The sequence below is a fragment of the Homo sapiens genome, chromosome 1, assembly GCF_000001405.40.
Source record: "Homo sapiens chromosome 1, GRCh38.p14 Primary Assembly".
NCBI classification, from domain to species: Eukaryota; Metazoa; Chordata; class Mammalia; order Primates; family Hominidae; genus Homo; species Homo sapiens.
The window spans coordinates 205,606,658-205,634,151 of NC_000001.11; the positions used below are offsets into that span (position 1 = coordinate 205,606,658).

Consider the following 27,494-nt stretch of genomic DNA (forward strand, 5'->3'; position numbering starts at 1 on the left):
GGGACTACCGTCGCAGTTGATACTCTGAGAGCAGTGTGTTAGGAGCATGCAGTAGTCCTCACTGTGCTCCACATGCTGACTGACCCACCAACCAAAGTGACATTTCACCCATTTCACCAGGGTAGTGAACTGCCCCCTTTGCCCCAGAACAATCTGTCACTCTATCCTCCTGTGATTTTCATTAAGAGATACGAAAACAGCTCTCTGCTGTCATTTTGCCACCTATAAACCCCACTTTTGGGCTGGTTACAGTGGCTCATGCCTGTAATCCCAGCACTTTGCGAGGCCAAAGCGGGCGGACCACCTGAGGTCAGGAGTTCCAGACCAGCCTGACCAACACGGAGAAAACCCGTCTCTACTAAAAATACAAAATTAGCCGGGTGTGGTGGCGCATGCCTGTAATCCCAGCTACTCGGGAGGCTGAGGCAGGAGAATCGCTTCAACCCAGGAGGCAGAGGTCGCAGTGAGCCGAGATCGCACCATTGCACTCCAGCCTGGGCAACAAGAGCAAAACTCTGTCTCAAAACAAAACAACCCACTTTCCCTTATGTATATTATTTTGACCCAATTCTAAAAAAGCCTAATTTCATTTGCTAAGTGAAGTCTACATTGCTTTTTACAAGGGCTAGATAAAAGCCTCTGATTTTTTTTTCTTTTTTTTTGAGATAGGATCTTGCTCTGTCACCCATGATCACACCAGTGCAGTGGTGTGATCTCAGCTCACTGCAACCTCTGCCTCCCGGATTCAAGCGATTCTTCTGCTTCAGCCTCCCGAGTAGCTGGGACTACAGGCACACCCCACCACGTCCAGCTAATTTTGGGAGGATTTTTAGTAGAAACAGGGTTTCACCATGTTGGCCAGGCTGGTCTCAAACTCCTGACCTCAGGTGATCCACCTGCCTTGGCTTCCCAAAGTGCTGGCATTACAGGTGTGAGCCACTGCACCCAGCTGATTAAATTTTTAAAAACCCTTTATTTTTCAAGTAAAACAAAAAGAGATTTCACATGGTGAATATTTTTTCTAGCCACTCAGTTCTCTCTTAATTCCTTTTATGTCAACAATCATTTTACAATCTCCCCTGTTCACCACCTATCTGAATCTAGACTTTAAATATTTTAATGTAGATACATATCAAATTGTTGAAGGCCAGATTTTAATGATAGCCATTGGGAAAACAACTCTTTCCTGACCCACAGTTAGCATGGATGAAAATGTAATACAGAGACTGTAAAGAGACCACCTCAATGAATGTGAGAGAAGGGAATAAATAATCAATTCAGAAAATCATTTTGTTAAAAATATTTATTTAAAAAAATACAACTGCTGTCCATATCTAGTTGCACATATATCTATTAACATATATGTATACTTTTAGACTTGTAGTAAATTTGCTACAGTGCTTTTGTAAAGCCAGCCTGCATTATACAAAGCAAATTCCTCTGTCAGTTCTTACATAAAATAGATTTTTAAAAATGTATATCTTTCCTAAAAGATGCATATCACCATTATAGAATTTAACAAAATTTTTGCATAAAACCTGGGAAGTGATAGAAAAAATGATCACCTGATTGGTCAGAGCAACCCCTTACTATGTCTGGAGATGCACTGAGTATCAACTACACATTTTTTTTTTCAAGCAGCATATTATTATAAAGCCCTCAAAGTGCTTTTGCATCCTTTCGCTCACCTCTCTACACTCTATAAAGTTTCTCTGCCGTATACAGATAGAATTCAAGACTCTAGCTACAATCATCCTAATCAATCTTAGAGCAATATCCCTTTGTTTCCCAACAGGTAAGTCAGACTGCTTAGCTAGGAGATGTGGCAGCTTCCCTCCAGCTGTTTCATCAACTAACATGAAGTTTAATAAATGTTAGCAGTGACCATTTTAATTGCTTTTTTAGGAAAAAGAAAAAAAAAAGGTGCTTTTAATACTTTGAAGGTGCTTTTTAGGTCTCCCTAATGTAAATTATGCTGAAATCAACTAAGACGAGCTATTATTAACACTTTAACAGTTATCCATTCCTCTGGGTAGGTGTGCACTTACATTATATGTAAGTATCTCTACAAAGTGTTAGATACTGGATATGAGATACAGATTTCAATAAAACAAGGGAAAAAATAAGCAATGAAGTAACTGTCTTCTCAGTTGAGCTGACAGGTTTGAAGAAAGCACTCTTGACATGTTCTTACTACCACATATCCCAAACTAAGACATACACATAAAATAACATATCTCTCCTGTGTTAACACTGATGGAGACGCACTGCAATAGTCCCATGGCAGACATATGCTTTTCTTCTGAATTACAGATTGGCTTAATGAAAATTAAGAGTTTATTATTAAGCATCTTTTAATTTTTAAGTGATGTTCATACTTGACGGTTCAGAAACTGCCACTGCCACTGTGGTTAAATCACTTGGTGTATGGAATTTAAAATAATCTAACCTAGAGCTATTTCCCATTAATCAAACTCATCCCTAATTGTCTCTTAGGAAGGTCTTCTTTAAAGAAGATCGAGTAGGGCTCATGAAAAATTATTGGTTTGTTCTTCAAAATGCAAAGTTACATACCCTTATTTTTTAGCCAATTTGATTATTTGGTAAAGCAAGGGCATAATTTTAAGAAACTAATTTTAATCAAAAATTTTTACTTGCCTCAAACTAAAGCTAACCAGTAGCAAAATGACTGGACTGAATTTCATATTTAATCTTCCCTGCCCACAAAGATAAATGAAACTGCTCAAAGGCAAAAATAAAGAAATATAATTGTGATTAGAAAAGATCCAGGGCCAAAACAAATAAATAGGCCTCAAGGAATAAAAAATTAATTGTATTCGTTTCTTTTCTATCTTTACATATACGCATCTGTCAATTTCACTAATACTGAACAGGGAAGTTCATAAAAATGCTACTCTACCACTTAAACAATAAATGTAAGCAATGAATGTACATACAAAGGCCACTGGTTAATACTGCCCCAAGTAACAAAACAATGAAATGTCAGGATTGTGTCCCCTACACAATAGACAATAAGCAACAATGACCAAACAGAAAAGAAACTTAAAATTGGATACTTTATAAATTTAAGTGTAATCTATCAATTGCAAATTATTTTTAAAAATCGTAAATTTCTACAAAGCACAATATTAAAAGCTTGCAAATTATTTTAAAATATCCTAGCCAAAAGGGCATACCTTACAGAGCCTAGAAGAATGGCTCATTAGGTAACCCATTTATCCCTTCTACAAACACCCTATAAATTCCAGAAAACATAAACAAGAAATAAACCTTACTTCTCTGACCCTCAATATCCTTAAGTTGAAATTAAACAAACAAAATAATCATTAAGTGCTTCCAGTTATTAAAAATGAAACAGTGCTAATATTGGTGCCCAAGAAAGTGCCAAGTGATTAACACCAATATATGGCATTCCCACCCCTGAACTTTAGGCATTCTTGAATGATTCCATTGGCTAGAACTCTGGGCCAGCCACAGGAAACCCCCACCTCCTCCCCGACCCCATCCAGAAGATCCCAGGCCTATGTGAGCATGACTCACAATCCTTGGAAGGGAAAAGAACCAGAAGGAGCCTTTATGAGATGGGAAACAAGGCAAAGTTGAGAAGATCATTCAGCCCAAGACACTCCACTCTGAGGTTTTGGCTAATACTAATGACATACAGTTTAAAAGGATAAATTAGGCCACAATACCAGCATTCCTCCACTACTGTATTCAATCCATGGTCGAATCTCTGTACTTTAGAAATACTGCTTCCAGTATAAACCTCCTCTTTGAGAAACTTACAAACTAATAAAGATTTTACACAAAAGCAAACATAAATGTAGAAATTTTAAGAAAGGACATCCTTATTTGCTCAATAATACATGAACCTAAGAGAACAGTTTACTATGACTTTGTTTAGAGTATGTCACATGTAAGCAGTGTATTTCTAAAATGTTGGTGAGCAATTCATCTTTAAGGCCTACTGAAATGTGCAAAGCATTAATCTTTTAAAAAGTGGCAACTGCAAAGTGCAGCAAATTTTTTTAAGTTTTAGTATAAAATAGACTAGGAGCCATCAATGTATGTTCCCTATGAAAACAGATTTACACGCGCACACACACACACACACACATTCAGTCAATACATCAGTATATATGCATACACATACATTTACTAGGACAATAAATCAGAATGACTTGGAAAAAGAAATGGTCTAGTCTCCCAATTAAATATTTCAAAGTAAAGTTTTCAACCTCATAAAACTTCCTGATGTGGACTATACTCAAATGATTAGCACTCAAGAGATTAACTATGTTTGATTGTATCCCTCATGAATTTTCTTGTTAAAAGTTTCCTTTAAAATTATGTCAACAACAGCATGAATTTCCTGTTTTCTGTAGAAAGCTTAGAGCCAGTATTTCCCCTCTCATACAAACCACTCTGGATTTTCATATTTCACAATAAGTAAGTGTGGATGGCAGCACCTTAGAAATTGCTATTTTCTGGCAGGCTATCAATCTATCATAATTTTTTTCAGAGAAGTGACTTGAAGAAACTGACAGTTTCAAATGAAACAATTATACTACCATTAACGATTCACCTTTCAGATTTGCTCGGCTTACAGGTCAAAACATGACTTGTATAGTAACAGGTTCCACCAAGTACAAGAAATAAAATCAAACCACCTTCTTTTCTTAATACACGACCAACCACAAGAATTCTAGATCCTAAGATTAAACTTCAACTTCAGTAAGCAGAGTTCTGATGACATAAGAGGAATAACAGGGCACTTTGTTTCAGGCAATGCCAGCAACATTAAAACAATAACAAAACATTTGTTGATCCCAAACCAAGAATATAATTCTATTTTCCACAGAACCCAGTCTCTGGTTAGAGTACCTGCTGAAGAAAGACAACTATGGCTGACCTCCACACTTCACTTACACTACTATGGACTGAACAATTAACTTCTCAATACTATTTTAGAAATAATATATTCTATCATAGCTTCAGATGACACACTACATCATGAGTAGTATTTTAACTTTCCTATTGGTTTGGTAATTCATTTAGAGCCCCAGATTTCTGCACAGAGACCTGCATTGGTCTCCAAACTTGTTTTCATACCTAAGAATGGCACCTAAGCACGATTCTAGACTCCTGGCACGGGTAAATAAAACATATACAGTCAATGAGGTTAAAAACAGAACAGACCTATAAAGAAAAGTATTCCTTTAGTTGCTGAAATATCAGATTTTAAAAATCAAAAACTTATTAATGCAGCAAGAAAATGTAACTTGTTATATATTTTAACATAAAGCAACTTGAAATAATTCTAAATTTGTTGGTAAAATATAACATAAGTCCCAAAGAAGTCTGTGAGCAGACTAGTAAAATAAAAATAGAGTCATACCTAACATGAAGATAAGAGACAACAGGCTGACGAAAGTAATAGGAATAAAGCTGTGGAAAACATGTGGTAATGGATTATTATTTGGGAATTTATCAAAAAGAATTAATGTGAAATTTCAAAAGTTGACAATAAGCTCTCCTGAAAAACTCCAAATCTCTAGGATTTCTCCATATATCATAAGAGAGCATCATATATGTTTGGAGATTAGAATGAGAATATCCTGAGTCAGCAGTCTTTAGGAAAAGCGTGTGCTTCTGGAGGGTGCACAAGACAACCAACTGGGGTGTGGGAAGAAAATACTATAACTGCTACTCAAGAATTACTTTTTATGCCATCCTTCACTTCAATTTTTGTGTATTTTTTTATAACACACATATTACTTTGGTATAGCGGTATATAATTTAACATATACCCATATGAATTTTTAATAGGGAAAGTTTTTATGTTCAATAACTCTTACTGATCAATTTGTGTGTTCAAAAAGGCTGGACACTCCTTTTCTGAACCACTGCTTCAGAGGTATTGAGAAGTGGTACTGAGTGGCTCTAAATGTGCTTACATTCACCAAAAACATAAAAGGACACCTTTAAGAACTTAAGAATCATAGTAGAAAGTCAGATCAGGATGAAACAATGTTGTCAGACTGGACGTCACACAATGCAGGGGTGAATGGAACTGAAGTGATACTATCAACAGCCTGGAGTTACAGCTCCAGAATTCCAAACCTCTGATTTACTTAAGTCAGTCTTGACTTTTAAAATCTGTAATATAGTATGTAAATCTTCAAGGAATTTTCCAGTTAAAAAAAATCCAGTAGCCTAATAGAGGCTCATAGGTTTACTGTCCCTATCAAAATTTCAACTGTCAAAATGTGGGAAAAAATTAAACTCATATTTTAACTCTAAGAAGCTTACGGTTGACCTTTCAAGGGCCTCTAATTCTTTTTTTTTTTTCCTGACCGTACTCCTCAAAATCCAGATTGTTTGTGCATACATTTAAAAAAAAAAAAATCAATGGAAATTTCCACCTTTGTTCGAACACATAAAGTATGCCATGAGCAATATAACATCACAAACGTACTGTGACAAACCATTAATAAAGAAGGATTACTAAGCCAGGTGTGGTGGTGCATGCCTGTAGCCCAGCTATGCAGGAGGCTGAGGCAGGAGGATCACTTGAGCCCGGGAGTTTGAGTCCACCCTGGGTAACACACCAAGACTCCATCTCTAAAAAATTAAATTAAAGGATTACTGAAAGATCTCATTTCTAAAAAAAGAAAAAGAAAAAGATCACTGAAGTCAGACATGATATTTTAATTTTGTATTTTGAAAAGTCAGTATATAAATAAGAAAAAATTATTTTAGAAATTATGTGAAAATCCACTCTTGGGTGGAGTAAATGCAATGGTTTGCCAGCACTGGCTCTGAGCCAACTGTGCACATCCTTTCTGAACTCTAAGGTGGTAGCTTGAAATCAGCCACAGGAGGAGTAACTAATTTATATCAAAGAATTTGATATAAAATTCTAATTTATATTAGAATTTTATTTATAATTTATATTTGCAGCAAATGCTACAAATTCAGCGCTCCCCCCCACCCCCACCCCAGAGATCCTGGTTGTTAAACATTTCTAGCACACGACTGAGTGGATAGCGACCAGAGCAGAAGGAAAGCTAAGGTATCAGAGAAGATGTCTCAAAACCCCATTCAATCTGCTCCCCTTCCGTAACTTAGGCTACTGCTGCCCAACAGCATTCATCCTGGCAAAGTGACTAGGGATGGATACGAGCTACAGCTACCAATTACAAGTCTCTCCAGTGAAAACTGATCTGAAGTGGTACATCACCTTTCACACTAAGAATTCTGCATATATTCAACAGAATATGAAGCTGAGACTTTTCCAGGAAGGAGGTAGTCTATAAACAGAACTGTCTGCCTCATACACCTGCAGTAAGGTTGTAAACTTTGACTTAAAAAAGGATACGCACACACACACTTCTCCAAATTAGTTGATCTCAAAGAGATAGCAGATCACCAATCTGTGACAGCCTCACACCTCTGAGAGGCTATAGATTTATGCAAAAAGGACTCACTAAAATGGTTTACTAGGAAGTTGCTTCAACTGAGTTTCAATGGTGCCCTTGGTTCCAAGGTACCTCTGTGCTGAGACAGTTAATTATTAAAAATACTGTCTGTGAAAACAAATCAATGGCTTTTCTCCTTTAATTCAAAAAGATAAAATACCTTTGTGCTTTCAAAATTTAACACATCTAGTTAAATCAACCATCTATATCTACTTATTTAATGTACAAAATGTTAACCTAATTAAAACTATTTCAAAGTGCTGCTGAGAGGTCCAATTTCAAACAGGCATGCAAACTAAATAATTTAATATGGAAAAAAAAGTCCAATATGTCTGTTCCCCATCACTATTAAACAATACCTTTCAACACTACTATTGCACATCTCAGGAACAGAACCTTCAACTGATAACCACAAATGAACCAGTAACAAGTCTCCGACACTACAGATATAAAGGCAGCTCACTGAATATGTTCCCTCTACTACTACTAAGTTAGCTAGCATAGATGTCTTCTTATACAAGAGCTTCTCTACACTGTATATAAGCACATTTAAAGTAAATACCATGCATCTGAAGATGCTAGTTTGTAACAGTGTCAGTCTGAGCCTTCAAGTTCTTACTTCTTCATTTAGTTCATGTGATTCTACAGGATTAGAAGACGAGTTTAACCGGTGGGAGAGATTGGTGGGGGAGGGTGGTAGTGGTGGTGAATGGTGACAACATATAATTTAATCCTGGACTTTAATTTTCAAAAGACTCCACTGTGATACTGATATCAATTCAGTTTGGGGAACCAACAAATCTGTACCTGGCATTGATTACCATATAGTAATATTTTAAAAATTTGGTAATGTAGAGAATAAGGCCTACATTTTTTACTACTAATATGAACAATCCAATCCCTATGTATAAGCATTCCCAAATGAACTCTGCTCTTCCCCATTTAAAAAAAAAAAGTTGAAAGAAATAAGCACATCTGAGCCTGCGCCTTTGGGAGGCTGAGGTGGGCGGATCACAAGGTCAAGAGATCAAGACCATCCTGGCCAACATGGTGAAACCCCGTCTCTACTAAAAATACAAAAATTAGCCAGGCGTAGTGGCGCATGCCTGTAGTCCCAGCTACTCAGGAGGCTGAGGCAGGAGAATTGCTTGAACCCGGGAGGCGGAGCTTACAGTGAGCTGAGATCGCGCCACTGCACTCCAGCCTGGGTGATAGAGCAAGACTCTGTCTCAAAAAAAAAAAAAAAAAAAAAAAAAGGAAATAAGCACATCTTCGCTCCTGACTGGGGAGGCTTCACTTTGAATTCTACCTTCCTAACTGCATCTTTAAAACTATCATAACCTCTAACAACCTTAAACATAAAGGAAAGGTGATAAATGTATAGTAGAAAATGAGGTAAAATGAACAGGAAAAAGACAGGTCCTTCACTTGGTTATCTTCTAATTGAGAAAACCACTACATGTTGTTTCAAGTTATCTGATCGAATCTTTTACTCAGAGATGTTTCAAATATTCAAAATCCAAGTTCATCCTCCTAAAAGTGATCATTTCCCATGCTGTATTCCATGGGCATATAATCATACCACCCAGAGGGCAAAGAGCATTTCTGTGCTAGATGTGAGGTCCCATATTCTTACTAGGTGTTCCAAAAACTGTCTTAAACCCCAGGTCTAAAAATCTTTCTATAGTGAAATAGACTAGCTCCATGCTCTGTTGACAGGTTCAGACAGGATCATACATATGGCTAAGAGATCCACCCTGAATAAAGGTAAACAAGATGCCTTTTCATGGAGTTGCTTACACGTTATAGTTCACACAAAACAATCTCCCCAGTATGACTGCTCCAATCTTACTTTGTATGAATAGGAATGATTCTTCTTCTTCCACTGCTTAGGAACAGCTCACTTTAAGTCATTCAACAGAGCACACTTAGTCCTAAAGATGCCAATTCATTTCACAAATATTTCTTTAAATAATAGATTCTAAGCATAATTTTTCCTGGCCAAAGGGTCCCAATAGCCAGAAGGAGTAACTTTGTTCTTAATTGCTTTTGCAAAGCACAGTCACTAAAGCCCACCAAAAACTTCTTCAGCACAAAGCTCAAAATATTTTTAAAGGAGAAAAGAAAAGGAAGGAAGGAAAGAAAAAGAAAAGGAAAAGACAGAGGGAGGTGGAGTTTAGACTCCAATTAAGGCATTTTTATACATATAGTCCAACTTGAGTCCTATTCAAAGAGAATCCTAAAAAGATGTTTTCAATGGGGAATGGCAAAAATCACAATAGTCTATTATCAGCATTGTAGAACTATCAATTGCTCACTTCAAATGCAATCATGTTGAATGTCTGTTTCTTCGTTCCTCGGTTCTCTCATTCCACAAGTGCATAGGTTATGTCTTCTGTAGGTCTGGGGAAAATGGGCCAGGGGTGGAAGGTCCATCCAGCCCAGACAGAGTGAATGGCCCATGACTGTTCAGTACAGAAGGAAACTGAGAAAGAAAACAAAACACATTATCATCCTATTACTCAACCCCAACTTTTACTTTCTATCCTACTCTATTACCTGAGGCAAAACACAACAGCCTTCTGTAATGGCTCACAGGACAAAGGCAGTGGCTGTTTATCATGAAAGAATATGATGTCATAACAAAAACTAGAAACAAAAATCTTTTGTCCTAACATATTAAATATTAACATTCTCCAACTTACCTCAATGGAGTAGAAACAAAGAACAACCTGTACCCTCCTTCATATCCTAAGGTACACAGGTTTACAATTAACCTCAAATGAAGGTTTTAGAAAGTTCAAGTAAATGACAATATGCACTACAGAGTGTAATTCAATTATGGAGCAAATCATAAACCCTCAAAAAGAGATCCAGAAAGGTATAAATAGCACTCATCCTAGAAAAGGGTTCCCCATCAAGTATTCTGAGGCCAGCTCTACAGGGAGATTCCAGGCTGAAGCTACAGGAGCACTATGACTTTGCTTAAGGTCTCAGCTGACTCTATAACTCAATTATCTGCTCATGTGTGGCAATGAAAAAAAATATGAAAAATTCTCAACTTTTTTTTCTATTCAATAATTTTAAACGTTGGCAAAAAATAAAAAGCAGAGAGATTTTTAATTTTCCTCTTTTTCCCTACCATTTCATTTCTAAAAGAATGAGAAGTTAAATTACAAAATATAAGAAAATCAGAGATAGTCAACCATGAATAAGTAAATGAATTGACTCCAAGAAAGTCTTTAAGTTATAACATCTAAGTGTTTTGGGCAAAATAATGGCTAAACCCATTAGGAATGGCAAGAACTTTCCTAACGTCTTGGTGAAGAGATAATATTCATTTTTTTAAAAATGTACATATAAAATGTTGATAAATTATCAATTCTGACTGAGGGAGAAATGGGACTGTTTGATATACCATTTTCAAGACCTTTCTCTATTAAAAAAAAAAAAATGCTTGGGCCGCGTGCAGTGGCTCATGCCTGTAATCCCAGCACTTCGGGAGGCTGAGGCGGGCGGATCACCTGAGGTCAGGAGTTTGAGACCAGCCTGATCAACATGAAGAAACCTCGTCTCTACTAAAAATACAAAATTAGCCTAGCATGGTGGCACATGCCTATAATCCTGGCTACTCGGGAGGCTGAGGCAGGAGAACCGCTTGAACCCAGGAGGCAGAGGTTGCAGTGAGCTGAGATCGTGCCATTGCATTCTGGCCTGGACAACAAGAGCAAAACTCCGCCTCAAAAAAAAATTTTTTTTAATCTTTAATTAAAAGAGGGAACCTATGTGCAGAGATCCCCCATATATGTGTGTGTGTGTGTGTGTGAGAGAGAGAGAGAGCAAGAGAGAGAGAGAGAGTGTGTGTGTGTGGATTTTGTTTTTTTGAGACAAGGTCTCACTGTGTCACCCAGGCCGGAGTGCAGCGGTGCCATTATAGCTCACTGCAGCCTTGATCTACTGGGCTCAAGCGGTCCTCCCACCTCAGCCTCCCAAGTAGCTCTAGGGGCCACAGGCACGTGCTACCATGCCTAACTTAATTTTTTTTATTTCTAGTACAGACAAGGTCTCCTTAGGTTGTCCAGGCTGGTCTCAAACTCCTGAGCTCAAGCAATCTTCCTGCCTCGGCCTACCAAAGCGCTGGGATTACAGGCATGACACACACACTGCCTGGCCCATTTTTTTTTTTTAAATAGAGAATTTCTAGTGACAAAAACTTGGGGTAGGCTCTAAATCTCCTACAGTATTGAACAATTCTTGGTCTAACTCAAATGTATGTAATAGTAAATAATGAAAATGAAACTTTGCTATATTTATTCAAGCTGTTTGCCAGCTAGAAAATTAATATTTGGAAATTCAAAAATAAATCTAAAGAATATTCATTGGGCAGGGCACAATGGCTCATGCCTGTAATCCCAACACTTTGGGAGGCCAAGGTGGGCGGATCACCTGAGGTCAGGAGTTGGAGACCAGTCTGGACAACATGGTCAAACCCTGTCTCACTAAAAACACAAAAATCAACCAGACGTGGTGTTGCACACCTGTAATCTTAGCTACTCCGGAGGCTGAGGCAGGAGAATCGCTTGAACCTGGAAGGTGCAGGTTGCAGTGAGCTGAGATTATGCCACTGCACTCCAGCCTGGGTGACATGGTGAGGACTCCATCTCAAAAAAATAAAAAAAGAATATTCATTAAATAGAAGTTTTATAATGATTAAACTGAATAGTGGGACCCTGCCTTTTTGCCTCTTTCTTCATTTAACATGCTCCAACTACAGAAGACAGATATTTATAAAATTACCTGGAAAAGTGTGTTAGCACCTTGCAGTCTGGCTGGACTTAGGGGAGCAACAGGACTGAGAGTACTCCAGAAGTGGATACTGGAGAGCAAGGGGCTTGGAGTCAGTATGATGGGTGTCTGCAATACACAAAGCAAAAATATTCACTGACTGACTTACCAGGATGTTTTATCCTTGAAACAGCACACAAATAACCCAAACCTAAATATTGCCCTATCCTCCACTCCAAATATCTCCAAGTCTGAAATATTATCATGACAAAACTCAAAAATTATTTTTACAAACTAAGAGGGATAAAGGTGATAATAACTACTTAAAATTTTTTAAATTTTTATTTCAATAGTTTTTGGGGGTACAAGTGGTTTTTGGTTACATGGATGAGTTCTTTGGTGGTAAATTCTGAGATTCTGGTGCTCAACCTCTTTTTAAGCCAACATTTATAAAGTCTTTTCCAAATAGAAAAACCAACCTGAATTCAGGTACAGAGGAATAATGGGTAACCAAGACACCAGCATGTTTGTTTTTTTTTAATAATGAGGTGTGTGAAAAATCTACTAAAATGTTCTATGAGATGAGCAAGTTAATAAATAGCTAAAGTAACTGTACCAACTTGTTACTCAACATCACACCAGTCATTTTTCTTATGGTTCTCAGGACCTACTGTTTTCTAACTTGAGATTATCACTGTTTGTTTTATAAGACACCAACGAGTTTTATAAGACCGAGAGAGAGCGAGAGAGTGTGTGTACTTTCTTTAGGAGGAAATAGAAAAATCAAAATATTTATTTACTTGTAGAACAATGAATTTTTTAAGAAAATACTCCAAACTTTCTATTTTAGCAATCCTAATTAAGATGAGAAATGGGGTAACTTTCACATGACAGTCACACATAACCTTTCTAAGACAAACCTAAGTAACAGAAAGCAAACTTGAGTGTATAAATTCTGGATTTGCTTAAAAGGGCAAATAAATGAAAGCAATGGTGACACCATAAAGAGCGAGCAAGCTACCTGTGAAAAAAATGCTGGTGTAAGAGAAGCTGTAGGGAGAGATGGGCTCAGTATTCCCAGTGGGCTTGGATCACTGCTCGTGATCACAAGGGTGGGTGCCAGTTCTAACCCTTTGGGTTTCTTGGATCTTGATGAATTATTTACTTTGTCCTTTTCTAGCAAGACTGAATCCTGGTCTTTAGGCTCCAGTGACAAATTCTCTGGAAGTTCCATTGGCTGAGAAGCCACTGAATCAATGTCTGTGTCGATGTCTGGGTGAGAACTCAGTGGTGGTGAAGGTGTTCTGGGAGGTTCCTGCAAAGGGGGTATGGACGAAATGGGTGGTGTGGTGGCAAAAGCAGTCATTACGTTAGAGGCAGAGGTTGGGGCTTCCAGGGAAGGCAGTTTTGGGGAAACCAATGTCTCCAAAGCTTGGATAGTTTCTTCTGAAGATGGAGAAATACTTGGGCCAATTGAAATGGTGGCAGCAACAGGTTCAACCGGTGGCTTTTTGGAAGGTGTCGTGACAAATTTGATGACAGATGGTGTGGGCTCCTGAGGAGATTTTTTCTCTGCCAGTTTCTCGGCTGGATTCTCAGTCTTTATCAATTTGAAAAGCTTTACATTGGAGGAGTTCAAAGAGTTGAGAGTAAATGAAGAATATAAGCCAGAGTGTATGTAGTCATTGCGGCTAGAGGTCTTGGCACCAGGCTGAGGTGGTTTATCTTTCCCTCCATTCTCCACATCTTTGGAACTGCTGCTGACTTCACTGAAGTTTAAACTTTCACAGTCACCCTCAATCCTGCCCACTGTCATTGGATCCATGTTCAAAATCTCTGGATAAGAGACAAACTTGTACACAAACTTCTGACCATTCACTTTTTTGATGATATTCTGTAGGTTAAAAAAAAAAGCATTTTTATCCTTTCTTATAAACTTATATCCCATAGTTCATGAAAAAGCTGGCATCGGCCAGGCACAGTGGCTCATGCCTGTAATCCCAGCACTTTGGAAGGCCGAGGAGGGCGGATCACGAGGTCAGGAGATTGAGACCAGCCTGGCCAACATGGTGAAACCCCGTCTCCACTAAAACAGAAAAAATTTGCAGGGCATGGTGGCGTGCGCCTGTAGTCCCAGCTACTCAGGAGGCCGAGGCAGGTGAATCCCTTGAACCCGGGAGGCGGAGGTTGCAGTGAGCCAAGATCACACCACTGCACTCCAGCCTGGTGACAGAGCAAGAGTCTGTCTTAAAAAAAAAAAAAAAAAAAAAAAAAAGAAAAAGCTGGTAATGAGGTTCTCCATTTTAGAAGTAGACATCACTTACTTAAAACTTTCAAAATCACCTAAATTCATCTAGCCATACCAAACACAGTCCCTACTATTATGGAGAAGTTAAGGCAAGAACATTTAAATGTCTTATTAACAACTGAACTAATATGTTACATAAAAACTGAAGGATTTTAATTGCTTACCACTCTCAACCAAATATCTGTGCAGATTAGAACTCCCTGAACTGCAGTCTCAAACAATTCCAAAGGTATAAGCCATACACATCCTGAGTAAGCAAAAAGGAATTTATTTACTTATTTTTTTGAGATGGAGTCTCACTCTGTCACCCAGGCTGGAGTGCAGTGGTGTGATCTCAGCTCACTGCAACCTCTGCCTCCTGGGTTCAAGCAATTCTCCTGCCTCAGCCTCCCAAGTAGGTGGGATTATAGGCACACATCACCATGCCCAGCTAATTTTGTATTTTTAGTAGAGATGGGGTTTTGCCATGTTGGCCAGGCTGGTCTTGAACTCCTGACCTCAACTGATCCACCCACCCCGGCCTCCCAAAGTGTTGGGATTACAGGCGTGAGCCACCGCGCCCGGCTGTGAAAAAGGAATTTAGAACATAGTATCTGTTAAGGTTCTTACTTCCTTCAGAAATTCCAGTTTATCTCCAGACAGGAAAGCTGGTAAGATCAACCACTTAATGGTGAAAGAGCCCTGCACAGTGGCTCACGCCTGTAATCCCAGCACTCTGGGAGGCCAAGGCAGGTGGACTGCCTGAGGTCAGGAGTTCAAGACCAGCCTCCCGTAGAGATGGTGAAACCCCATCTCTACCAAAAATACAAAAATTAGCCAGGTGTGGTGGTGCATGTCTGTAGTCCCAGCTACTCGGGAGGCTGAGGCAGGTGAATCACTTGAACCTGGGAGGCAGAAGTTGCAGTGAGCTGAGATCACGCCACTGTGTTCCAGCCTGGGCAACAGAGCAAGACTCCGTCTCAAACAAACAAACAAAAAAAAGTGAAAGAAATTAAGATCTCAGCAATTTTAACTAAAAAACCAACTCTGTGTATAAACAGCTACTACTTAAGGTATAAGGTTTTAATTTGTGTTCCCTGGGTTAAACTAAAACTAAAAATTAAGATATAAAACGTATATATGTAGATATATGTGTGTGTGTATATGTACATATATGACTTTTCTCCCCAACAAGACAGGGTTCTCATGGAGTGCAGTGGTGTGTGATCATGGCTCACTGCAGCCTCAACCACTTGAGCTTAAGTGATCCTCCTGCCTCAGCCTCCTGGGCACTGGGACTACAGGTGTACACCACCGCGCCACACTGTTTTTTGTAGAGACGGGGTCTCCCTGTGTTGCCCAGTCTGGTCTCAAATTTCTGGGCTCAAGTGATCCTCCTGCTGCAGCCTCCCAAAGTGCTGGCATTACAGGCATGAGCCACTACTCCAGGCTTCACAATTTTTAAAGTAAATTATGACACACATGAGAATATTTACTTATCCTCAAGAATCTCAAATTGCCTTTGTCATATTCCAATTCTGTACATATTTTTTCTTTTAAAGACAACTGTAATTAGGAATAAAATATGTGTAATGGGAGTAAGTTAATAAATAAAATCTGGGGCAGCTGGCTGTGATGGCTCACGCCTATAATCCCAGCACTTTGGGAGGCCAAGGCAGGTGGATCACCTCAAGTCAGGAGTTCAAGACCAACTTGGCCAACATGGTGAAACCCCACCTCTACTAAAAAAATAAACAAATAAATAAATAATAAAAAATTAGCTGGGCGTGGTGGTGGCCACCTGTAATCCCAGCTACTTGGGAGGCTGAGACAGGAGAATAGCTTGAACCCTGGAGGCAGAGGTTGCAGTAAGCCAAGATCGCACCATTGCACTCCAGCCTGGGCGACAGAGTAAGACTCCGTCTCAAAAAAAAAAAAAAAAAAGAAGAAGATTTGGTAGAGATTCAGCCGGAACATTTATACCTTGTATCCTAATTCCAAACTGCTGAAGCTACAAAATACACTGGATTAAAATAAACTAGGAAATTGGTATCTATAACCTCAACAGAAAACAAGGAATCTTTTTTTTTTTTTTTTTGAGACGGAGTCTCACTGTCACCCAGGCTGGAGTGCAATGGCACAATCTTGGCTCACTACAACCTCCGCCTCCCGGGTTCAAACGATTCTCCTGCCTCAGCCTCCTGAGTAGCTGGGATTACAGGTGCCCACCACCACGCCCAGCTAACGTTTTTTTTGTATTTTTGGTAGAGACAGGGTTTCACCACATCGGTTAGGCTGGTCTTGAACTCCTGACCTCAGGTGATCCACCCTCCTTGGCCTCCCAAAGTGCTGGGATTACAGGCGTGAGCCACTGTGCCCAGCCAAGAAGGAATCGTTCTTGTCTGGAGGTTCTCTGTATAGTATAAGATCAGGATGTGTACTACCTTTACATAATAGTATCTGAGGGCTCGGCTGAGTTTGTCATAATTCATGTTAGGCTTGTTCTTGCGAATCCCCCAGAGACGAGCCACCTCTTCTGCCTGCAAAAGCTTAAACTGCCCATCATTAGAGGTCCAACAGATCATGTGCTTGTTCTGAGGCTTCTGCAGGAGCTGAAGAAGGAACTGCCACAGGGTGATAGCACTGTCCATAGCAATGAGCTGAAAGAATATAGATAAGATATGTGATAATATTAACAGCCAACACCTATTTAACACTGTATGTCATGCACTGTTTTAAGTGCTCTAAATGTATTAATTCATCCCCACATTTCTATAAGGTAGATACTACTGCATCCTCATTTTACGTAAGAAAAAACTGATTCATAAGAGGGTTAAGGAACTTGTACAACATCACACAAGTAAACGGTGAAGCTAAGATCTAAGCCCAGGCAATCTGGACCCAGAATCCAAACTCTTAAGGATGCCACGCTGCTTAAGAAATGTCTTAAGCAACAAGCAACTTGCAAGGAGGATAAAGCTAGTTCCCTAAATTATAGGAAAAAACAATGATTGTCAATCACTAGTGACTGTCAATCACTGTTGTTAAATTTGAATCCTAAAATCTCATTGCTGTATTCTCTCAGGAGACCACCATTCCAGCATCTGTCTAAATCAACCCGGTTTGGTTATCTGCCTGTGAGTGTATGTGTTTGTGTCTATCTCAGGGTGGCCCAGGGACTGAGGTGTAGGGAATAATCTACTTTTGCTCCAACTGGTTTCCATCACCATAAATGTCATTTACATACAAATTGGCAGCATTTTGAATTCAGCAAAGTGTTCTCTTTTCTGTCACTGTTCTGTCCACAGTGATTCCATCTGCAAAGATTCTCCTTTGATTAGCAATCTTTATGTGATTATCAAGGCATGGATTGAAGAAAAATATTTTAATATCTTAAGTTTCAGGATCTCCCTGTTTAGGCCAGAGTTTCTCAATTTTGGCATTATTGGTTTTGGGGGCCAGATAATTCTTTGTTGTGGGAAGCTGTCCTGTACACTGCAGTTTGTCTAACAGCATACCCGGCCTCTACCCACTAGATGCCAGTAGCACCGCCTGCCCCATTGAGACCATCAAAAATATCTCCAGACACTGCCAAATATTCCCCCAGGGGTCAAAGTCATCCCGGTAGATAACCATTGGTTTAGGCAAAGGAGCAGCAAGGAATGCTCTCTCATAAAGGTATTTTCCTCATACAATTTCAAAACACCTTTCTATTAGGAAGAATTCTTTAGGGCAGAAACTCTGGCCAAATCCGTATAAGTGTGTCCTAAGAATCTTATGATTGAATACTTCACACACACAAAAAAAAACAAAAACAAAAAACCTTCCTTTCTCTAGTAATGAGATCTCAATGGGTTAGAATAGAGTTTGAAAACAAATTATATCAATACCATTAAAACACTACAAGAACAGATCAAAACTGGACTACAACAAAATTTAAAATTGTTGTGCTGCAAATAATGCCATCAAGTGAGAAGACAATCCCCCAAATGGGAGAATATTTTCAAACCATGTATCACAAAGGGAGCCTGCATCCAAAATATATTAAAAAACGCCTACGACTAAAAAAAAAAAAGCAAAGAATTTGAAAAGACATCATAGCAAAGAAGATATACAAATAGCCAATAAACACACGAAAAAATGCTCTACATTGGCTGAATCTGCCTACTTGTCGCCACTATCACTGCCACCCACCTCCCGGCTCCCCCAGGTTCCTTCAGCCCAGCCTAGTTCAGCCGGGTTCCCAACAGGATGAAATTCGTGTACAAAGAAGAGCATCCGTTCAAGAAACGGGCGGCTCCGAGAGCAAGAAGACTGGAAAGAAATACCCGGACCGGGTGCCGGTGATAGTAGAAAAGGCTCCCAAAGCTCGGATAGGAGACCTGGACCAAAAGAAATACCTGGTGCCTTCTGATCTCACAGCTGGTCAGTTCTGCTGCTGCTGCTTCTTTTTTTTTTTTTTTGTGAGATGGAGTCCCACTCTGTCACCCAGGCTGGAGTGCAGTGGCGCAATCTGGGCTCACTGCAACCTCCGCCTCCTGGGTTCAAGCGATTCTCCTGTCTCAGCCTCCCGAGTAGCTGGGATTATAGGTGCATGCCACCACGCCCAGCTAATTTTTGTATTTTTAGTAGAGGTGGGGTTTCACCATGTTGGTCAGGCTGGTCTTGAACTCCTGACCTCATGATCCGCCTGCCTTGGCCTCCCAAAATGCTGGGATTACAGGCATAAGCCACTGCGCCCGGCCCAGTTCTACTTCTTGATCCAGAAGCGAATTCATCTCCGAGCTGAGGATGCCTTGTTTTTCTTTGTCAACAATGTCATTCTGCCCACCAGTGCCACAATGGGTCAGCTCTACCAGGAACACCATGAAGACTTCTTTCTCTACGTTGCCTACAGTGACCAAAGTGTCTACAGTCTGTGATGCTGCTACCCCTGAGCTGGAAGGGGGGTCTCATTCTACAGAGAGGTGGCCTCCCTTTCTTGACCTCCTCCTCCAAGCTCAAACACCACCTCCCTTATTCAGGACCGGCACTTCTTAATGTTTGAGGCTTTCTTTCCAGCCTCTCTTAGGAGGGGTAATGGTGGAGTTGGCATCTCGTACCTCTCCTTTCTCCTTTCTTCCCCTTTCTCTGCCCGCCTTTCCCATTCTGCTTTAGACTTCTTGATTGTCAGTCTCTGTCACATCCAGTGATTGTTTCAGTTTCTGTTCCCTTTCTGACTGCCCAAGGGGCTCAGAACCCCAGCAATCCCTTCCTTTTACTACCTTTTTGGGGGGTAGTTGGAAGGGACTGAAATTGCAAGGGGAAGGTAGGAGGCACATCAATAAAGAAGAAACCACCAAAAAAAAAATGCTCTACATAATTAGTTATTAGGGAACTAAAAATCAAAACCATCTGAGAAACCACTTCATGCCTACTTGGAAGGCTATAATCAAGACAGACAGACAATAACAAATATTGGCAAGGATGCAGAGAAATTGAAGCCCTTGTACATTGCTGGTGGGAATGTAAAATGGTGTAGCCACTTTGGACAAGTTTAATACATGACTCAACAATTCTACTCCTAGGTATATACCCAAAAGAAATGAAAACATACATCCATACAAAAACTTACACAGGACTGTTCATAGCAGAATTATTCATAACATCTAAAAAGTAGAAACAAACTAAATGTCCGTCAACTGATGAATGGATAAATAATATGTGGCACATTCATAATGGGGTATCATCCAGCCACAGAAAGGAATGAGGTACACACACACACAAGGACAAACCTTGAAAACATTATGCAAGTGACTAATAGAAGCCAGTCCACAAAAGACCACATATTGTATGTTTCCACTTATATGAAATGTCCAGAATAGGAAAATCCAGACACAGAAAATAGATTAGTAATTATTTAGGACTGGGGGCTAAAATGCGGGGAAGAGAAGTGGGGAATGATAGAAAATGGGTACAGGGTTTCTTTTGGGGGTGATGAAAATATTATAAACTTAGGCAGGGCGCAGTGGCTCACGCCTGTAATCCCAGCACTTTGGGAGGCCGAGGTGGGCTGATCACAAGGTCAGAAGATCGAGACCATCCTGTCTAACACAGTGAAACCCCGTCTCCACTAAAAATACAAAAAATTAGCTGGGCGTGGTGGTGGGCGCCTGTAGTCCCAGCTACTCAGGAGGCTGAGGGAGGAGAATGGCGTGAACCTGGGAGGCAGAGTTTGCAGTGAGCTGAGATTGCGCCACTGCACTCCAGCCTGGGTGACAGAGCGAGACTCCGCCTCAAAAAAAAAAAAGAAAAGAAAATATTATAAACTTAGATTGTGTTCATGCTTGCACAAAACCCACAGCATATTACACCTAAGGAGGTGAATTTTATGGTATGTGAATTATATCTCAATAAAGATTTTTAAAACAAACAACACAACAAACACTATAAAAGTTAGGTCTGGGAAGACTAATTCTAACAACATTTAACTCACAGAAGATGGGATTCTTAAGGGTCAACTATACCTACTTCCAAAAAGGGCAGAGATAAGAAACTGTAGTGGAAAATAGTTGGGTTTCTATAACTTTTCTGAAACACTCAAAATGTCCTCCAGTAATCCTCACGATTATCACTTTGAAGCTGGTTGTACAGAGACAGTCACCTAAAAGTAACGATGGGAAAATAATAAAGGATAGAAAGGGAGAGATGCTGCCCACAGTCAGAATTCATGGAAAAGCTGAGGCCATGAGTCCCAAGTCTCTTTCATCACAGTCATGTACTCTGTCCATTAGGGAAACCACTTTCCAAATAAATAAAAGCACTCATATCGCTAATTGATTGTAAAAAAGCATTACATATTAGATACCGATAATAATCCACAAATATGAAGTGCTACCTTAATGCCAAATAACCATGCCCGCTAGAAATCGGTTCCCCATAGCCTCACTTAAGCGGGGCTAAAATAGCGGTTTTATACTACGGCCATTAAGTATGGTGGAAGCAGGCAGGGATTCCCTGTTATGTCTCTTGAGTTTACCTGACAGGCCTTTCTTCTGATGATGCCTAATGATGGCAAGTTACCGTTCTACTACAGTTTTCCCACTTAAACAATTATTTCTAATCTAATCCTGTTAAAACTACTCTCTAGTAAATGTTATCTTAAGCCAAGAACTCAATTTCCACATTTCCAGACATCACCTTCATATAAGACTGCTTATAGGGGTGGAGTATGAATCCATTCGTGAGATGATGAAGGAAAGACAGAGAATGGGAGTCTCTAGCCTACACAGATGTGGTGCCTATTATTCCATTTGTTTTTGAAAAAATTCCAACACCCGGATCCTAGAGTCTTAATACCTATTATGTAGATAACATTTCAGCCCTACAAGTTTAAAGCCTCAGCTATACATCTAAAGACAAAAACAACAAATTAACGTCTCCATAATGAGCACCCAAGGAGACTCCCCAAAATAACAGGTGTTCCCCAGATGGTACAGGTTTAACTTGCACCTTCCCTGTTGGTTATCAGTGGAGCAGCATGTATTTAGTCAAACACTGGTGAGCTGTTGGCTGCTTTAAGGTAGAACCGAGCTGTTGTGGAAAATGCTGATGCTTATTTAGCAACTACAGTGTGTCTACGATAGAAGGTTGAGGACAGTAAAAAAAAAAAAATGGCTTTGGCCGGGTGCAGTGGCTCACGCCTATAATCCCAACACTTTGGGAGGCCGAGGCAAGTAGATCACGAGGTCAGGAGATGGAGACCATCCTGGCTAACAAGGTGAAACCCCCGTGTCTATTAAAAATACAAACAATTAGCCAGGCGTGGTGGCGGGTGCCTGTAGTCCCAGCTACTCGGCAGGCTGAGGCAGAATGGCGTGAACCCGAGAGGCGGAGCTTGCAGTGAGCCGAGATCGTGCCACTGCACTCCAGCCTGGGCAACAGAGCAAGACTACGTCTCAAAAAAAAAAAAAAAAAAGAAAAGAAAAAAATGGCTTTGAGGTTTTAGACTGAAGTATTAGAAATGAATTTTGAGAAAAAGATATAAAGTGGACATTTTCACTGGGTACTTTAAAGGAATATTTTATTAATTCAATTATGATATCGTTATTCTTTTGATTGAAAAGCAGCCAACGTCTTCTTACATAGTTAAGTCAAAACTCTTCATTTTAGTTTCAAAAAGTGTGGTATTAACAATGATCTTCAATGATTTCATCAGATATAAAAGAGAGCTGGCCGGGCACAGTGGCATACGCCTACCATCCCAGCACTTTGGGAGACCAAATCGCTTGAGGTCAGGGGTTCTAGACCAGCCTGGCCAACATGGTGAAACCCCGTTTCTATTAAAAATACAAAAATTACCTGGGCGTGGTGGTGGGCACCTGTAATTCCAGCTACTAGGGAGGCTGAGGCAGAAGAATCATTTGAACCCAGGAGGCGGAGGTCACAGTGAGCTGAAATCACACCACTGCACTCCATCCTGGGCGACAGAGCAAGACCCTGTCTCAAAAAATAAATAAATAAAATAAAAGCTAAAGAAAAAAAATCCCCTAAGACAGTTATTAAAAATTATGTGGTTGCTTCATGCCTGTAATCCCAGCACTTTGGGAGGCCAAGGGGGGAGCTTGAGCTCAGGAGTTCACGACTGGCCTAGGCAACATGTTGAAACCCTGTCTTTACCAAAAATACAAAAAATTAGCCGGGTATGGTAGTGCGTGACTACTCGGGAGGCTGAGGTGGGAGAATGGCCGGGAGATGGAGGTTGCAGTGAGCAGACACCACATCACTGCACTCCAGCCTGGGCAACAGAGTGAGACCTTGTCTCTAACAAAAACAAAAACACAACAAAACAAAACCAAACAAAACCTTTTATTCTTGTTACCTATCAAAAAAAAAAAAGAGGCTAATTACTTGATTTTCCTTCTTACAGGAATCCCGAGTTTTCCACAATTGCAATTTTTAAAGTTTAAAGTTATAACAAAGGAAGAAAACACTTAACTGGTCCAAATGAAGGTATTTGATTTTTGAGGGGGTAAAGGCTGAAAACATAATTGATTCTATTTTAACACTTCAAAGATAGACCAATCCCTGTCCTAAATTGAAAGGGAGCATGTTGAAGTAATGTATTAAGGAAAGGAAGTCTCTATTAAATAAAACCTTTTCCACCCTAAACATGTTTATAATACACACAGTCCAGTTGCTGTGGTGACCCATAGCCCAACTATTTTTCAGAGACAGTAGCTAAGACCCAAAAAAACACAAAGTCTCCAAATTTTCTTCAGCCTGCTACTTAAAAAACCAAGTTATGAATGTATCAAGCCTAGTTTCGAATCAAAATACTCACCGTTGTCAAAAAGTAACCAAAAGTAACATGACGTTTTTAACTACACAGGCTCCTAAAAAATACTCTTTGTATAGGATCCTGCACAGTTCTTACAATATTCTTACAATAAAACTTAAAGACACTACCTCACTAGGAATGAACAGATTCCACTTACGCAGTTTTAATGTTTAAGTAAAATCAAAGAGAAGAGTGTTCCTGAAGGGAAAATATTGAATCATACTACATTTTAATGAAAACACCGCTGCCAAACCTAAATATTGAAGCACCAAGTTTTCCAAGCCAGGGGGTGTAGGGGGTGGGAAAAGACGACAGAGGATCTGATCTATCAACCAAAGAGATGGACAAACCATTCTGATGAGGCATAGAACTCCAGAATCTTTATTTAAATTCCCCAAATTTCAAATAGCAATAGCTGGAGAAAAAGTGAAGTGTGTACTTTTGACTACTTCAGTCAACAACATCCCTATTTCCTTCCAAGGCCAGTTACTATCCCGCCCCGAAAGATGTTTCCAATTGATCTTCCCAGGAATGAAGTTACCAGCCTCGATGCAGCTGTGCACAAGGCGGAAAGTAAAGAGGGGCGGGGGGCCGCTGGAGCGAAAGAGAAAAAGAAATGAAACTCGACACCGGATGACTAGCGAGCTAGGGGAGAGGAAGAAACGCGGACGGCCGCGTGTGCCCTACAGGAGATCAAAGTCTGGGGGAAGAGGTGCAACCTCACCGGGCCTTGGTAAGCACTGAATTACTGTACTTTCATTTTCCAACTTCCTGTCACTACAGAAAATGAGAATTGCTCCCCTCCTCCCCATCCACGCCGAAAAAATCGCCGCCACCTTTCGCCCACGAGACTTCGGGGGACCAAGAGGCGACGAGAGCTGAGCGGTGCGCTGCGGCGTCCACCTGTGCGCCGCGGTGCCCGGCGGGCCGGGGGCGGACCCAAGGGGAGCGCGCGCGCCCGGCCCCGGCCCCCGCCCCCACTTCCTGTTGTGCCGCGCGCCCCTCGGCCCCCGCCCCCGCTCCCGGCCGGTGGGGCTGTGGCCGCGAGATCCCGAGGGGGCGCGCGGGGCTGACCGCTCACCGACGCCGCGCGCGGGGCTCCCCCTCGGTCTCCGCCTCGAACACGATGCGCCTCTCCGCCCTCAGCCTCCTCCTCACGCTGGAAACTCGAGGACGGCGCGGCAGCCGCTGCGACCCCCGCGGCGGAGCCGTAGAAGGCGGCGGCGGCCAAGCCGAGCCCGCCGGGTGCCCGCAGCCGCCCGCATCTCCCGCCGCCGCGGCTCCTGGCGCCCCGCCCTCCCCGCCCCCGCACGCGGCAGCGGCGGCGCGGGTCTTGGGGCCGCTACACGCCGGGCGCGCGCGTTCGGGGCGTTCCTTGCAGCGGCGGGGCCTGCCAGGCCCTCCGCGGCCGCCGCCACTCTCAAACCCCCCGACTGCTCCTGGGTCCCTCCCAGACGCCGTAGTCGCTACACGTCACTTCCGGGGGAGGGGCTGCGACCCTAAGGGGTGTCGTGAGCCGCGTCTGCCAGCAAACCCGGGTTTGGTGTGGCCGGGGGATGTAGCTCGGGCGCCTCCTGGAGTCGTCTCGCCGCTCTCCGTCGCGTTCGGTGCGGTTGCTTCCAGGTCCCTGAGGCGCCCGTCCGGAACCCGCCAGGACCCAAGCTGCCGCCTGGGCCGGGACCTCGGACTCCTCAAAGGCGCGCCACTTTCTCCTCGGTTGGAGGGAAGAGGTGGCGCTCGCAGAGCAACCTGCGGGGGACCACTTCTGTTGGTGCTAAGCTTTGGGGAGAGTCTCCTCCCTCCTGTGTCCCTCGTCCTCCTTACCACTCGCTGTTAGAAGTTGGGGCCGTCACAGCTTTCTCATCGAAGTGCCAGATCCCAGGACACTACAAACGCTTGATAAATACTAAATTAGCACTGTGGCTTTCTAGCCTGGGGACTGACAAATGGAAGCGCTGGAGTCGTGGGAAAAGCTTGCCCTGACGATGGAGGCAGCGACCAGAAATCCATTCGTGGCTCTACCCCTCACTAACTCACCAATTTTAAGCAACCTTAACCTCTCTAAAACAGTCATCATTTATAAGGTGGAGAGAACCCAATCTTAGAGTTGTTGTAATGATTAAAGAAAATAAGGTGCATGAAACACCTAGCAAGAGTTTCTAGCTTAGAGGTTCTCATTAAGTAAAATTCTTAAGGAATCAGGTCACACTTGATACAAGAGGCTACTTGAGCAGTTTAGCACCAGAAGGAATGTAAAGTCATAAATTAGGACAGCTGAACAAAACCTCCAAGAAATAAATTAGGTGTTTGTTTAACAAGAAACCAAAGAGAGGTCAGTGTCTGAGTTACTGGTTATTCGAGGCCATTTACTAGCTGTGTGACCTGTAGTGAGTTGCTTAACCTTTCTGGACCTCAGTTTCCTCATGTAAAATGACGATAATGAGCAGCATTGCTGAGAGGATTAAATGAAGTATAGAGCATAATGTACTTAGTGCATTACCTAGCACATAGTAGATACCCAGTAAATCGTGGTGTCATTTATTTTTGCCCCCACAATTGAATGTATAGTTAATTGAACTCACTGAGTGAAATGTGATTCTGTCATCCTTTTGTAGGCTTTTGGAAGAGAATCATCACTTCCTTGATTTCCAGCCTCCTCTTCCATAATACAGAGTAATTATAATCCACAAAGGTAGCTATTCCTGTAAAAACAACTCTACCAAAAGATGTTACCTTTCCAAAATTAGTTTTACCAAAGCATGCAAACATATTAAGACATGTTTTATAAGGAACATGCAGTATCTGAAAAGCACTAGCAGTCTTGGCCCCTAACATAAAATTTTCCTTGCAACAAGTTCCATCTTGGAAACCAAGAAAAAAAAAAGTATTAAGGTAGGCTGTTTAGGATACACCTATTGGAAACATTTGTTTATAAAAAGATTTCATTTTAAAGCCCCCTACCAAGAACAGTTAAGGGTTGTGGAGATCTGCACACTACGCTGCTCTGTTCAAACTGGCAGTAAACATCTGATTCGGCCTTAGGGCCAGTAGTTGTGTCATATCCCTTTTAGACTGAGCTTACGGCATTGTCAATTGCAGTGTATTTTTGGAAAACAGCCTGCTTTGGGAGTTCTTAAATTAGTCATAGCAAATCTGTCTGCTTTTAAATTGACTTTTTTTTAAGGCGGTACATATTGACAGAAGAGAAAGGAAGAAAAGTGGATTTCTAATTAGAGAACTTGAGGGGAAAAGTTAATTAATGTGCCTGGTTTTCCCACTCAAGATTCTATAAATACACAATCTCTCTCCATGGTTCCTCACACAACAGATGGTTCTGTTTGTGCAAACTCCATGGTAGTTACGTTGGTCAACCAAAAAGACTGCTTTTTCGTTATCTTGTTTGGTCACTTTCCCACCAGATAGATGGATTCCTGATCTTAGCCTTAGTTACTCAGAGCCATCCCAAAGAAAATTTGTAGATTTTATTACAATGTTTATTTATTTTTTTGAGACAGAGTTTCGCTCTTCTTGCCCAGGCTGGAGTGCAATGGCGCAATCTCGGCTCACCGCAACCTCCGCCTCCCGGGTTCAAGCGAGCCTC

The 27,494-nt window shown here is 41.2% G+C and overlaps 1 protein-coding gene and 1 pseudogene across 2 annotated transcripts, besides 5 other annotated features; one reads left to right on the plus strand and one right to left on the minus strand.

The window, feature by feature from the left end:
* On the minus strand, positions 1,286-25,354 carry ELK4 (ETS transcription factor ELK4). 2 transcript variants are annotated; one of them, NM_001973.4, is made up of 5 exons: positions 24,975-25,354; positions 17,019-17,234; positions 13,309-14,181; positions 12,300-12,416; positions 1,286-9,987 (listed from the first exon to the last, which is right to left on the minus strand). In NM_001973.4, exons 2-5 carry the CDS (start codon positions 17,223-17,225, stop codon positions 9,889-9,891), a joined length of 1,296 nt encoding a protein of 431 aa, NP_001964.2. In that variant the 5' UTR covers positions 17,226-17,234; positions 24,975-25,354; the 3' UTR covers positions 1,286-9,888. The 2 variants fall into 2 exon arrangements, with proteins under 2 accessions (NP_001964.2, NP_068567.1); NM_021795.3 differs by lacking the exons at positions 1,286-9,987; positions 12,300-12,416 and having other exon boundaries at positions 12,611-14,181.
* LOC100420878 (GABA type A receptor-associated protein pseudogene) lies at positions 18,728-19,693 on the plus strand (annotated as a pseudogene).
* Positions 22,129-22,398: an enhancer, noted in NCBI's record as "active region_2383". NCBI's record gives its function as "activates an Ori minimal core promoter by ATAC-STARR-seq in GM12878 lymphoblastoid cells {active_cell/tissue: GM12878}" and the evidence as "EXISTENCE:reporter gene assay evidence [ECO:0000049][PMID:35858748]".
* Positions 24,402-24,821: an enhancer, noted in NCBI's record as "active region_2384". NCBI's record gives its function as "activates an Ori minimal core promoter by ATAC-STARR-seq in GM12878 lymphoblastoid cells {active_cell/tissue: GM12878}" and the evidence as "EXISTENCE:reporter gene assay evidence [ECO:0000049][PMID:35858748]".
* Positions 24,832-25,021: a silencer, noted in NCBI's record as "silent region_1745". NCBI's record gives its function as "represses an Ori minimal core promoter by ATAC-STARR-seq in GM12878 lymphoblastoid cells {active_cell/tissue: GM12878}" and the evidence as "EXISTENCE:reporter gene assay evidence [ECO:0000049][PMID:35858748]".
* Positions 25,112-25,261: a silencer, noted in NCBI's record as "silent region_1746". NCBI's record gives its function as "represses an Ori minimal core promoter by ATAC-STARR-seq in GM12878 lymphoblastoid cells {active_cell/tissue: GM12878}" and the evidence as "EXISTENCE:reporter gene assay evidence [ECO:0000049][PMID:35858748]".
* Positions 25,432-25,741: an enhancer, noted in NCBI's record as "active region_2385". NCBI's record gives its function as "activates an Ori minimal core promoter by ATAC-STARR-seq in GM12878 lymphoblastoid cells {active_cell/tissue: GM12878}" and the evidence as "EXISTENCE:reporter gene assay evidence [ECO:0000049][PMID:35858748]".

Coding starts and splice junctions, on each gene's coding strand:
- ELK4 (NM_001973.4), bottom strand. CDS start 17,225: ATGGACAGTGCTATCACCCTGTGGCAGTTCCTTCTTCAGCTCCTGCAG. Junction 14,182..17,018: donor TCAGATACTATTATGTAAAG/GTAGTACACATC, acceptor TTTAACCTACAG/AATATCATCAAAAAAGTGAA. Junction 12,417..13,308: donor CACCAGCATTTTTTTCACAG/GTAGCTTGCTCG, acceptor TGTGTATTGCAG/ACACCCATCATACTGACTCC.